General features: G+C 45.8%; 2 pseudogenes across 2 annotated transcripts; one reads left to right on the forward strand and one right to left on the reverse strand.

Annotated features, from left to right (window-relative positions):
- Positions 1-4,111: 4,111 nt before the first annotated feature.
- Positions 4,112-6,171, forward strand: FAM90A27P (family with sequence similarity 90 member A27, pseudogene; annotated as a pseudogene). Its single transcript, NR_046365.1, has 3 exons — positions 4,112-4,148; positions 4,631-4,739; positions 5,822-6,171. The product of NR_046365.1 is annotated as a family with sequence similarity 90 member A27, pseudogene (transcript).
- A 5,251-nt stretch (positions 6,172-11,422) lies between these two features.
- BIRC8 (baculoviral IAP repeat containing 8) lies at positions 11,423-13,256 on the reverse strand (annotated as a pseudogene). The gene has a single exon (NR_159880.1). The product of NR_159880.1 is annotated as a baculoviral IAP repeat containing 8 (transcript).
- Positions 13,257-14,568: the final 1,312 nt, after the last annotated feature.

Here is a 14,568-nt window from a genome sequence, read left to right on the forward strand (position 1 = left end):
TTCGAATGTGTTTGTCCCCAATGTAGCATTCCCTGATCTTTTTTTTTTTTTATTTTCATGGCGGTATTGTCTTCTCTTTTTCCTAATATGATCTATGCAGATAAATTTTATTATCTTTCTATGGGCACCCATGGTAATGTATCCTACTACTGCTTTCAAATAAAGAACACGTTTTCCTGTTGTATTCTATTTATTTTTTCATCTGCTCCAACTTATTGTTTGATTTGCCATTTCCATCTTTTCATTTTTGCAATCTCATGTTTTTCTGTCTCTAAGCTGTCTCCATGGACCTGAGCACTTCCCCTAAATTTTATCTTTTTTCAATCATGTTGTGGCAAAAAAAAGATGCCCGACTGAGACCCCAGGAGAGGGTTCTTTGTTCTCACACAGGAAGGAATTCCAGGCGAGTTGCAGAGAACAGTGAGAAGAGAGAGTTTACTGAAAGCTACTGCATTACACAGTAGGGCGACCTCAGAATGTGACCGGAAAATGCACCGTCTTTTTTTTTCCTTTTAAGTTGTTCTGATATAGAGTCTTTTCCATGTGAAGATTTAACTAAGCTGTGTCTACATGCGGTGGGCTGATAGCATGACAATGTTTAGTATCCTGTTGATTTAAAGAAAACTCTCCTTGACATTCCAGTGTGTAGCTTAGGAAAGCATAGCTATCATTATGTTGAAGGCATCTATTGCTTTGGATATTGGGCATCTGGACATTTTGCTTTCATAGGAGTCTGTCTTGCAAGCATTGCTAAGCTGCTTCCTCAGCCACAGACATCTTAGAACCAGGGTGGTGACTGGCCAGGACTGTGCCTTGCTAGTTTCAAGAAGGAGTTGATTTCTAAATGGTGTTGCCCTCACTCTCCTATGTTCCTGTTTCCCTAGCACTGTGGTCATTTAGACAAAGACATTTCCCCTGAACCCAGGTTTTGCTTTGCTCATCAGTTTGGACATGAAAGGGCTTTACCTGTATTTTCTTTGCACTTTCTGATTTCCACTTGAATATCTTGTTTGAACTTAAGGACTTTGATTGCAGAAATTTCAGAGACTGTGCTTCATAGTTTAAAACATTCTTACAATTTATAAAATGTAGGTATATCTAATTTTGACAAACAGGGACTACAGATTGATAAGATATCCAGTTTTCTAATATATTAAATTTTCTTTGAGGCCAATTCCACGATCAATTTTTCCAGATGTTTGATGGTATACTATGAGGGTCTCTAGAGGAGGGACCTGCATTGCATACATATCAAACACGCTAAGTCCAGTGAACAATTCTTTTAATGGATCACCTGCTTTTCTCATTCACATTGGTGTCATGTCACTGGCAGAGGAAGGATGCGTCCGTGTAGTTTGAATGACAGGATGTGTGAGTTTACTCCTAGGGACACGGTGGGCACAGCAGAGAGATGGGGCTGACTGCATCCTGTGCCTGGGAGAGTCCAGGGATAGGAAGGAATCAGCGTCTCATTTTCTACCCTCCACAGGGAAAGAGAATCCCTCGGGCAGGACCAGCAGTGATGGACCCCAACACTCTCTCCATGGAACAGGGGAAGCAGTTCTTAAAGCAGTGCGGGATCCCACAAAGAGATGTGAGTACAGGAGCTGCGGGGTCACCTGGGAGGCAGGTGGAATGGGTGGAGTCCAAGTCGAGGGGGAAGGCTGAAGCAGGCTCCCCGTCCATGACCGGCTCATATTCAGAGTTTCACACCCTCCATACACGGGCACTGACCCATTAAAATCGATATGTAATTCCTCAAAGGGACATGGGAAAATGACACCACCACTGCCCCTTAGTTCCCACCTGGGAACAGCAGCACTTCCCAATACCCTGGGCTTTCACTCTTGGCGCCATTTGAAGGTCATCAGCCAACTCCTCACCAGCTCTGGAGTAAAGAACTGTGAGATTGCCTTTGCATCCTCATAGCTTAGCTCCCACACATGAGTGAGAACATAAGGTGTTTGGTTTTGCATTCGTGACTTATTCACAGAGAATAATAGTCTCCAATCCCATCCAGGTTGCTGTGAAGGCCATTAATTTCTTCCTTTTTATGGCTGAGTAGTATTCCATCGTGTGTGTGTATATATATAACAGTTCCTTTATCCACCGGTTGATTGATGGGCATTTGGGCTGGTTCCATATTTTTGCAATTGCGAATTGTGCTGCTGTAAACACGCGTGTACAAGTATCTTTTTCACATAATGACTTCTTTAAAAAAAAGAAAAGAAAAAAAAAACCAAAACACCAAAATGTGAGCCTGCCCAGCATTCCCTTTAAAATCTCAGGAAGATGGGAGTTCCTCCTCTCCTCTGCCAAGGCTTCCTCCTGCCTGCAGAACTCAGGTTGCGTCTCCATTCTCCTTTCTCTGCATTAGATTGACTTGATGACAGAGAAATGGGTTGTTCTCGCCTCTGTGGAGGTTCTTCTGCGATTTCCTCTGAAGCCAGGAGAGGATCCGACCGCCCGCTATGTCTCAAATAAAAAATGCCAACCTTCAGTGGACTGGCCCACCACAATTTCACAGAGACGTGGATACCAAGAGAAGTGGTAAGACAAGTATTAGGGAATAAGCTAGGGACAGCCTGGGGGACTCCCCAAGCACTGTTTTCCTGTTGTATTCCTGTTGTGGGCTCAAGGTTTCTGCTGAACACGCCTGGAGGCTTCCGTCTTGCGTGTCCCCCCATGACACGGCCAGTGATGTGTGCGAAGCCTGGCGTGAACACGCACATATGTGTCAGCATCGCAGGATCCTCAGAGGGCTGGTCCTCGCTTGGCTTTGTGCCTGCCTCTGTGTGAAGAGTGGCGTGTGGTCACAGGGGTCTCACGTGAAACGTCACGAGTGTCCATAGGTTGAATATGAAAACTTTGCAAAGCTTTGAGCTTCTGGTTGGTTTTCTGAGTGAGAAGCTATTCTATGAAAATAGTGGGTTTTCTGGAACTAGCTGGAAAAATATCAATAGTTGTTGGCTGTTCATCTCTTGGCTTTGACAAGTATTGTCAGAGGGTTTCAGCTCTGAGGCACTGACTGCACACAAACCGAGAGCCCAGAAAACTTTTATGCAAGGCTGCAAATCTCACTTCGCCCTCTAGAAATCAAGCAGCCTTTGGTTTATAAAATCTGTGTCCTGTTCTGGGAGTAGGTCAGGCTGGGAGAGAGTCACAAAATAGCACAACTGGGACCTGGGTTCAGAGAGGACCAAGTTACAGTGGGCGTGACTCAGTGGCCAGTGCATCCCTCCATCCCTACTTGGGTAAATAGGGGTAGGAGGGACTTCCGTCTGGTGTCTGTGTAATGTTTTCTCTTTTTCTTATGACTAGGAAATCCAACCATCATTTAATGAAGAAGAATGATCGGAAGTTCAAGGACCTGCCACAGATGGCCCGTCATTCCGTCCATCATCAGGCTCAGAGGCCCCCCAGAGCCAAAAACCCACAGGAGCAGCAGAGGAGACCCATGGGGCAGACGACTCTCCCAGCAGAGCAGGAGGAATCCAGGGTCAGTGGGGGCTTGAAAATGTTGGTAACCTATGGACACCAGAGAGTGGGCTTGAACATGGGACTCGTGATTATGACTTAAGAGTTCCCACTGGTCTCAGTCTGACCACATCGGTCAGCCTCCTGTCTTGGCAGATTGGCCCATTCGGAGTCTCTGAGGAGCAGCCTCATTCTCTGTCCAGTGTCATGTCCAGCCTGGTGTTTGCCGAGTCCTCAACACCGGTTCATTATCTTCACTCTCAGACACAAGCGTCCTTCCTCCTGGGATCCCTGTTAAACGGGCTCTGGGGAGGACGATAATATCTTGAATTTCCTGGCAACCAACAGCCCATGGGCGTATGTCCCCCTCCTAAAATAATCCATCTCCAAAACCCAGGCCTTGTGTGAACCTTGCAGGTGCCTGTGATTGCTGTTGACTCACTGCTCTGTGTCCTCCTCCACCTGCAGGTGAAATGCAAGAACTGCGGGGCCTTTGGGCACTCAGCCAGGAGCAAGACCTGCCCCATTAAGAGGTGGAGTGGGGCCCTTCCTCTGCAGGCCCTGGGCTCACACAAGGAGAAGGAGAACCTGAAACCAGCAAAGGCCCAGCTACCCTTTACGACTCCAGGGCCCTTTACGACGAATGACAGAGAAAAGGAGCGAAGTCCAAGGTAAGGATTTTGCAGGGTCAAGGAAGATCCGTGAGGTCGGCGCCTCAGGAGCTGGTGTCTCCCCTAGTCTTTCTGTGCAGCCTTCTCTAAGCACACAAGGAAAGCTCCAAATGGAGGTGGATGGAGGCCCCTGCCTTCCAGGGTCCGCACTCCGAGCTTATTCCAGCGCTGAGAGTCTCTAGAGGGCAGGGGCTGTGGGAGACCTGGGGATGTTACCCGAGGCAGGCAGAGCAGTTCCAGGGCCTGAATGAACTTAGAGAACCTGGGGCCATGGTGGGGGTGGGGGGCGGAGCTTCCTGGAAGTGGGGCTGCTTCTGAGATGAGAGAAGGGGCTGTCTTGGCAAAGTTCACAGAGGCCTGAACGCCTCCCTCACCCAAAGCAAGGGCTAGGGCTGGGTTCCGGGAGGGTGCTTGGTTCCCAGTCACTGGTGTGAGTTGGAGGATCAGGCGGGTCCAGACAGTGAACGTGATTTCTTCTGCAGTCCCCAGCAGCAGCAGAGCGAAGCTCCGACGCAGACATTTCCCAGAACTCCCCAAGAGAAAATGCAGGAAGCCTGGAAGGAGCCAGCAGAAGATTGTTTGTTCCTGAGGGTGCGTATTCCCCCGGCCCCTGCTCTGTTTCTCCTCTAGGTCCCCTGATTCCTTCACTCTGTGCCCCTCATGGATGGGGGTCATGTTAAGACCTAGGCTGCCCTGCAGGAGAACTGCGCTACCCGAGGACTTCCCATACTCCAGTTTCCAGCTTCTTTTTCTTCTTCTCTTTTTTTTTTTGAGACGGAGTCTCGCTCTGTCACCCAGGCTGGAGTGCAGTGGTGCGATCTCGGCTCACTGCAAGCTCCGCCTCCCGGGTTCATGCCATTCTCCTGCCTCAGCCTCCTGAGTAGCTGGGACTACAGGTGCCCGCCACCACGCTCGGCTAATTTTTTGTATTTTTGGTAGAGACGGGGTTTCACCGTGTTAGCCAGGATGGTCTCGATCTCCTGACCTCGTGATCCACCTGCCTCGGCCTTCCAAAGTGCTGGGATTACAGGCGTGAGCCACCGCGCCCGGCCTCAGGTTCTTTATTTGAAAGTTGGTTTCTGTACCTTTATTTGCAAGTTGGCCAGCAAATGCTGCTGGGCGCATTTCAGTGCCCGTGGGGAGTGACTGATCAGATGCCTTCGGGATACTGGCTGCAGATAAGGCGTCTCCTTCATTTTTGTACATGATCTTACATCTGCTTTCAAAAGGAGCTGTGCCATTTCCAGTCTCCACATTGTGTGGGGAATTGATATTCCCTTGATATTAACAATAGAGAACATAAAGAGTTTTAATTTTCATATGTGATAGTCGCAGCAAACAGAATGGTTGGCTATCTTTCCCCAACACTATTCCTGAAGTGACAATTCTGCATATATTCAGTGACCATGTGTACATCCTTTTCTGTGACGTTTAATTTCCTACGTCCTGTCTCTTTTGGAGGGTCTTCCCTATATTTGATCCTGATTTAGACGCAGTCCCAGTGCCTGTTATTCTCTGTTTCTCATGTCAGCCTGTCCATTTTCCTCTGTCCTAGCTTGCTTCTCATCTTCACACAGTGTCTGTTGTGATGTGGTTTTGCATGTGAGTTCCCTGCTTCAGAGTTTGGAAATTCTACTGCTGAGCTGTCTCATGTGGGATGTTTTCTCCCGTAGCATCCTACCATGCCACTGCCTGTCCACACCACCAAGAAGAGATCTGTCCTGGGCCCTGTGTCCACAGGTCCACCGCCTGTCAACAAACCCGAGATGAGATTACTCTGCCCTTCGGGTCACAACGATTCACCTCAACTGAGCACCTGTGGACCCACCAAAGGACATGGCAGGGACGTTACTGCCTCCCTGCTCCCTGTTCTGAAGAGCTCCCACCAGACCCCCACTCTCAGTGCCAGGCTGCCAGCCAACAGGCCTGACATGTCCTCCCATGGTGCTCTCCAGCCTGCCATGCAGGCGCTTGCCCTGGGTCCTGGCCTTAAATCCCAGGCAGAAATCAAACATCCCGACGCAGATGCAAAGCCCAGACCACAGCAAGTCAGAAAACAGTGTGGCCAGGACTCCAGAACCCAGGCACCAGACAAGGAGCCTGCCCCCGTCCCCACCCAGACTTTCCAGAACCCCGCAAAGAAAGCAAGATTCAGCTCCTTCCAGACCCCTGCACTGAGAACTCAGCTCCCGGATGTGGGCGCTGTGCAGACACTCCAGCCTCCCCGCACTGCAACTGGACTTGGATCCAAAGAGGCACCCAAGGCGACCGCAGAGACAGCAGCCACCAAGACAGCAACCCTGCAGCCCAGAGTCAACCTCCAGCCCGCACCCAGCTCACCTTTCCTGGGCCCAGCCCAGGGCTGCCCCGTCCTCCAGCCTGGACCACCCATTCATGTTCCAGGGAGGCCCGGCAGTGTCACCTTCATGAGAGGGGACAAGGGACAGAAGAGCCCCAGGTTCAGAATGCCTCCCACATCCCGTCCTCCTGAAAACTCTGCTTCTGCTCAGAGCCCTCGCTTCTCAAGGCAGCCTGAGGGGCAGGGTCCCCAGGTCTCAACGAGTGTCCTCTATGAGGACCTTCTGGTCACTTCCTCCTCTGAGGACAGTGACAGTGACTGAGGCCCCCAAGGCAAGAAGACCCAGCTTCAAGCCCATGCGACTTGGAAGTGGCTGAAAGGCTGAGAAGGGGAGAGGCAGGAAGCAGCCCTGTACGGGGTCAGCCCTTCCCTGGCAGCGGTGTCTGTTCAAACGTGGACCCCAGATACTATCGGGGATCAACGAACCTGCCTATTTACATTGTATAAATTTAACCTGTATTAAAATGGGGCTGTTGAAAGTATCCTATAGATTTCTTTTTCAATTACATATAATTATATGAGAAACTGAGTCAACATAAGCAAACAATGCTCCACTAGTGTCAATAGAAAGCTCTGAAACTCATCTGAGGGAGGGAGCAAACCACTGAAATTTGAGTAATTCTGGGCAAAGGGCCCTTCAATGGTAGTGGAAAACGTCAGTGTCTCCTGAGTCAAGAATATTTGACTGTGAAGGAGAGTTGTAGTGAGAAACGATTAGCCTTGGAAAATGGGAAATATTTTTTTGCCTTGCAAGAATTTTTTTAAAAATCAGTGAATTCAAATATTTAAGAAACTGTTTTTCATACCCTATAGTTTTTTTTATCAGTCCATTCAAATATGTAATAAACTGTTCTTCATACCCTCTACATTTTTCCAGGATATAAAACAAGGGAAATACTCCATTTATTTTATGAAGCTACCTAGACTCTGATTTCCACTGTGGTAGAGAGGGCATCTCAGCTAGCGCATGTGTAAAGTTGAGGTACCAATATTCTCAATGTTGGAGTTATTCAGTGGATTCAATAAGTTATGCAAAGCACGTCATGAATGGCACATGGTAAAATATATTTTACTATTATTATTATCATACCACAAGTAAACAATAGAGTAACTTGAAGTTTTTAAACGAATTTCACTTATAAGGATGTATTCTACTAGCCTTGGAACTTTTGTTATTAAATGTCATTGTAAAATTCTGTTTGGTTAATTTCTTTCCATATGAATAAAATTCTCTGAACTATGACACGTCTTACTGGTGTTTTGAGTTTTCCTTTTCACCTCAGGCCAATTTCTTTACATTTCAATCATCGTGTTTCATTTACTTGAGCAAAGAGGACTGGGTGCCCAGAGTGTCACCCGCAGACCCATAGCTTCTGAGAAACACAGACCCTCAGGCACAGCCCCACCCCCACCTGCTCAATCAGTAGCTGCAGTTGAATAACAACCCCAGGTGTTTCACATGTGGGTTAAAGTGGGAGAAGCACGAACATAGACTGACTCTCAACTTGGTTGCACGTTGGAATCTCCTGGTGAGCTTCCCCCGCTGGCTGGGTCCCACCCTTGGAGAGAGTCATGTTCTAAGTCCCGTGTGAGGCTGGATATAGGGATGGGTGGACCCTTTGAGGTTAAGTCAAACATGGGTCAAGGTTAGGAAACACTGGAGGGAGAGGGCGAAGACAATGCTTCCCTAACCCGCCTCCTGAGGAAACTCTCCTGAATTCAGAAAGATCAGAAGGCTCTGAGGGTGGGATTTCAGTCTCAGGAGAGCATCCCTGTCTCCCTAGGACCTGGTCCCTAAAAAGCAGTGGATGGAATTGTCCAGGCTGCCTCGTGGATGGGGCTGGAAGCCATGAAATATAAAGAGTGATCTGGAAACTCAGGTTGAACTCCTCCGGCGTGCTTTAGTGGGGGTGATTTTTTAAAATGTGTTATACCAGAGTCATTTCTTCAACACTGGGCAACCAATTTGCTGTACAAAGGGTTTCCCAGATACAGAAGTTACACTCCAGCACGTTGTGTTTAGTACACTCTGGTTTGTCTATGAGCTCCGTGCTGATCTGAACTGAAGAAACTGCACTGTTTTTTTTTTGTTTGTTTCTTTGTTTTTGAGGAGTCTCGCTCTGTCGCCCAGGCTGGAGTGCAATGGCGTGATCTCATCTCAGTGCAACCTCTGCTTCCTGAGTTCAAGCAATTCTCTTGCCTCAGCCTCCCAAGTAGTTGGGACTACAGGCGTACGCCACCATGCTTGGCTCAATTTTTTTTTTTTTTTTTTTTTTTTGTATTTTTAGTAGAGATGGGGTTTCACCATATTGGCCAGGCTGGTCACGAACTCCTGACCTTAAGTAATCCGCCCGCCTTGGCCTCCCAGAGTGCTGGGATTACACGCGTGAGCCACCACACCCAGCCACAATATTTTTTTTTAGATGTTCTTCAAACAAATGACTTCCTGCAATTTGGGAGATGATTTTTTTAGAACAGTTTTATTGAGACATCATTGATGAACAAAACTGCCTATACGGAAGAAGAAGAACTTGATGTTTTCATAGGGTATATTGTGGAATGATTACTATATTCCAGTTCATTAACATACCTATCACCTCAACATAATTACCATCTTTGTGTGGGGGGTGAGGAGATGAAATTTAAGATCTATCCTCTTGGAAAATTTCACACATAACAATATAGTATTTTTAAACAGTCATTCCTAAACTGTACATTAGATCTCCAGCAATTATTAATCTTTTTTTTTTTTTTTTTTTTTTTTTTTTTTTTTTGAGACGGAGTCTCGCTCTGTCGCCCAGGGTGGAGTGCAGCGGCGTGATCTCGGCTCACTGCAAGCTCCGCCTCCCGGGTTCACGCCATTCTCCTGCCTCAGCCTCCCGAGTAGCTGGGACTACAGGCGCGCGCCACCACGCCCGGCTAATTTTTTGTATTTTTAGTAGAGACGGGGTTTCACCGTTTTAGCCGGGATGGTCTCGATCTCCTGACCTCGTGATCCGCCCGCCTCGGCCTCCCAAAGTGCTGGGATTACAGGCGTGAGCCACCGCGCCCGGCCCAGCAATTATTAATCTTGCATACATTACTCTTTGTATCCTTTGACCAACTTTCTCCCATTTCTCCCCCCTACTGCTCCTGGCAACCACCATCCCACTCTCTGATTCTATGAGTGCGACTATTTTGCATTCTATACATAAGTAAGATCATTCAGTATTTCTCTTTTTAAAAAATAAATTTTACCGAATGGAGGTTCCCCAAAGAGGAAAACACTTACGTTAAAACAATTCAATTATTCATTCCTTGGCTAACAGCTAGATTGAACTACTGATCTGACTTGGAGCTGAAGTGCCCTGGAAAACATATTTTAAAAATTGTCACTCTTTTCTTCCCTTGTAGGGTGCTTTAAATTAAGATTTTAAAATGTTGAATATTACAGGTCAAATGCAATTTTATATAACCACACTGAAGTGGCAGACAGTGCTAAGGTGAAGAGCTGAGGATTTGCATAGTAAAATAGGAACAAGGCAGTTATAATTTAATTTTTAAAACTCTCATTTAAATTTGCAGTGCTTTAAACGAGTATTACTTATTCATTTACATCAACTTTGTTGGTTACTACTTAGTAATCAACAGAGTTTAGGAGACCATAAAAATACTCTTTCTGTTAGAAAATACAACAAAAATATAATTTTTAGCAGTTTGACTTTCAAACTGTTCTCTGTAGTGACTCACATCTGCAATACATCTGTTTTGAGAATCTTGAAATGTGAACCCTGAGGGTTCTATGAAGCATTTTTAAACTTCCAGTTTTACCCATTTTTGACTCTTTTTAATTGTATTTAAACAACTCTTCTTTTTTATTTTATTTATTTATTTTTTTTAGGCAAGGTCTCACTCTGTTACCCAGGCTGGAGTGCAGTGTTGTAATCTCAGCTCACTGCAGCCTTCACCTCCCCGGCTCATGGGATCCTCCCATCTCAGCCTCTCCAGTTGCTGGGACCACCGACATGCGCTACCACACCTGGCTAATTTTTTTGTTTTGTTTTGTATTTTTAGTAGAGACAGGTGTTTCACTATGTTACTCAGGTTGGTCTTGAACTCCTGAGCTCAAGTGATCTGCCCAACTCAGCCTCTCAAAGTGCTGGGATTATAGGTGTGAGCCACCAAGCCTGGCCTAAACAATTATTCTTCGCGTTTAAAAATTCATTCACGCAAGTACATGTTTATAATTTTAAAAGAAAATGGACAGAATCCTAAAACACAAACATCTAAATTTAACATGTATCTTTCCACCAGTATGGAACAGTTCATTCCTTTTTCACACAAAATCAGTTATATGATTGGTGCATTAACTCCAATCTCCATGTTTATACAGAATGCTCCATTTGTTAAACCTCTCTGAAAAGAATAAAAAATTCAGATGATTAATTCACTTACACTTAGAAACTAAGTCAGTATACCACAAATATATATTGTGATCAGTTATAATACAATATTTCTTGGCCTAGGGTTTCAATTAAACAACAGAAAAAAATGAATAAATACTACAGCTAATACCCTGAAAAAATGCAAAAATTCAAACTTTAGCTTGCCAACTAAAACACTTGCTTTGAGACGGAGTCTCACTCTTGTCAAGTGCAGTGGTGCAAACTCGGCTCACTGCAACCTCCACCTCCGGGGTTCAAGTGATTCTCCTGCTACAGCCTCCCAAGTAGCTGGGACTACAGGCACGTGCCACCACTCCCAGCTAATTTTTGTATTTTTAGTAGAGATGGGGTTTCACCATGTTGGCCAGGATGATCCCACCTCGGCCTCCCAAAGTGCTGGGATTACAAGTGTGAGCCACCACGCCTGGCTTGCATTTTTTTTTTCTACTTGGCAGCAAATGCTGATGGAATTCAGTGCTGACTACTTAAAGTTGAGTCACATCACACATTTAATCAGGGTAATAAGAACATAGCACACCCACTGTAGAGTTACATTAAGACATAAAAACTCTTTGCTTGAAATCAATAACCGCGCTGCACATGGGACATCTGTCAACTGCTTCAGCACATTGTTTACAAGTGACCAGATGTCCACAAGGAATAAAAACAACAGCGATATGTCTGTCCATGCAGATTTTACAAAGCTTCTCCTCTTGCAGACGCCTTAGCGGCTCTTCAGGGCTGATTTCTCTCTGCAATGAAGTCTGATTCAATTCATTTTCTGTAGTGTCTTTCTGAGCGCTCACTAGATCTGCAACAAGAACCTCAAGCGTTTTATAGTTGCTCCCAGATGTTTGAATTCTTTCCTCCATTATTTTCTTAACGTCCTTGAAATCAAATCCCATTCGTATAGCTTCTTGTAGCATAGGATTAGGGAAGATGGTATCACTGATTCTTTTAGTTAGTGATGGTGTTTTCTTGGTAGTTTGTACCAGAGCTCCCTCAAGTGAACGGGTTAAATGAATGTTGTTTATATATTCATGTCCCTTCTCTTCTAGCAGATATTTGCAACCTGGATACCATTTAGCATGCTGTTCCCAAGGATCTTCCTTGGGCTTCCAGTTGGCTAGCCCTCCTCCACAGTGAAAGCACTGTACTTTATCCTCTTGACCTATAGCATAAAATCCAGCTCTTGCAAGCTGCTCTTTGTTAACGGAGTACATCCATGTCCCAAAAGTAATGAGCCGGGCTTCATAACCCGTCATGGATGGATTCCTTGGAGAACTTGTTGAATTTGAGAAATTCCTATCAGAACTCGCAACATCAGATTCACCTCGAATATTAACGTTGTGGCCCAAAATAAAGAAGCAATTAGGAAAATGTCTCCTGTGTTCTGACCAGGCACGATCACCAGGTTCCCAGTTTTTCAGTTTTCCGCCACAACAGAAGCACTGCACTTGGTCATCAGTGCCTGTGTAGTACAGCCCAGCACTGGCCAGCTCTCTCGGGGTCAAGTGGGCAGAGGCTGGCCAGTTGTGAAACGACTGTTATCTAGCTTCTTCACTATGCATGGCGGGGCTCCTCGGGTGTATGGAGTCTGATCTATCCACCACCTGTCCAGCTCTCAAAAGCCGGTCTGCACGAGTCTCAGACGGCCTGTCTAAAGCACAACGCTTTTCCTCTCCCAGATGGTTTTCAACTTGGTATTGACTATTTGGGACACCAGGATTTGCAGGTTTCGTGGCACTGTCTTCAAAATAAAAGCTGCGGATAAACCTGCAATTCGGCGCTGCTTTCTTGTGTTTGTCAACTCCTGAGCCCCCACGTTGCCACCTGTCTACCGCTTCAGGGCAGCTAAGGCCCCCCAGGGCGTCTCCTCCAACGCGCCGATGCCCAGGCAGGCCCACCACCTGCAAAGCCAGCAAACGTTTTTGATCTATTAATCTCTTCTACTAATTCTTCATCCTCATTGATGTCTGCAGACACATACGTTTTAGATCCTTCGAAACTGTTCAAAGTTATCTTCTCTTGAATATAGGACTTGTCCACCGTCTCGCGCCAGGATAGCGGCTCCAACCGCCCAGGCGATCGGCCTTGTCCCAACGGGAGGGTCCCGCGGAGGGACGGTCCGAGCCCCCTACCATTGGAAATGCCAAACCCTGCCCTAAGCCGGGCCCAGCCACCCAGGCTGACGACCCACGATTAGCACCGCGCGCTCTGGGGAGCCGCCAAGGTGCAGCCACTTCCCAGAGCTCCGAAGGGTCAGCAAGAAAAGAGGAAGCCACGAACGCTCCCAGCCTCCAGCTGGAAACCACGCGGTGGAGTGGGCGCTTGCGCAGTGAGCACCTCGTGCCCCACGCCCGTGTCTCGTTCTTTTTTGTGCTTGTTTCACTTTGCATAATTTTAGCATGATATCGTCCAGCTCCATCTACGTTGTTGCAAGTGGCATTTTTTTTAAAGGCTGAGTATTAGTGCACTGTGTTTTATACACACGCGCACACACACGTGTGTAGGTTGCATGGCACTATATGTATATATAGTGTGTGTGTGTTGTATGTGTATCTCACAAAGTCTTTATCCATTTATCTGTTCGGGCACATTGAGGTTATTTCCGTATCTTGGTTATTCTGTATAATGCTCCAAAAAACATGGGAATTCAAGATATATTTTGGGGATTGTGTTTTAAATTCCTTTGGAGATTTTATATATATGTGTGTGTATAAATATATATTTTTTCATATAAATATAATTATATAAATTATAAAATTATATAAATTATACCAAATGTTATAAAATATATTTTTATAAATATATATTAAATAAATATATATTATACATACATATATTTTTGGGGGGGCAGAGTCTTGCTCTGTCACCCAGGCTGGAGTGCAGTGGCACGATCTCAGCTCACTGCAACCTCCACCTCCCGGGTTCAAGGAATTCTCCTGCCTCAGCCTCACCAGTAGCTGCGATTACAGGTGCCTGCACCACTCCCAGCTAATTTTTGTATTTTGGGTAGGGATGGGGTTTCTCCACGCTGGCCAGGCTGGTCTCGAACTCCTGACCTCAAGTGATCTGCCCGCCTCGGCCTCCCAAAGTGCTGGGATTACAGGTGTGAACCACCGCCCCCTGCCTCCTTTGGATATTTACCCAGACATGTGATTGTTGGATGAAATGGCAGTTCTATTTTTATGTTTTTTGAGATACCTCCATAGTAGTTTCCACAATGGCTATACCAGTTTACATTCCCATCAACAATGTGTAAGGATTTCCCACATCCTCACTGACACTTATCTTTGTCTTTTTGATAATAGCCATCCTATCAAGTGTGAAGTGGTAGCTCATTACAGTTTTATTTTACATTTTCCTGATGATTAGAGATGCTGTCTCTTTTTCATGTCTGTTGACTATTTGGATTTCTTCTTGTGAGATGTGTCTATTTAGGTCCTTTGCCCATTTTAGGACGAGTTATTCATGTTTTTGGTATCAAGTTGTATGAGTTCCTTATATATTTTGGATATATGTGTGTGTGTGTGTGTGCATATATGTGTGTGCATACATATAGATAGATAATATTTTTTTCAGTTGTATTGCCTTTCTTTTTCTTATTGATTTGAGTACACTATATATGCTGGAA

Source organism: Homo sapiens, chromosome 19 (genome assembly GCF_000001405.40).
Source record: "Homo sapiens chromosome 19, GRCh38.p14 Primary Assembly".
NCBI classification, from domain to species: Eukaryota; Metazoa; Chordata; class Mammalia; order Primates; family Hominidae; genus Homo; species Homo sapiens.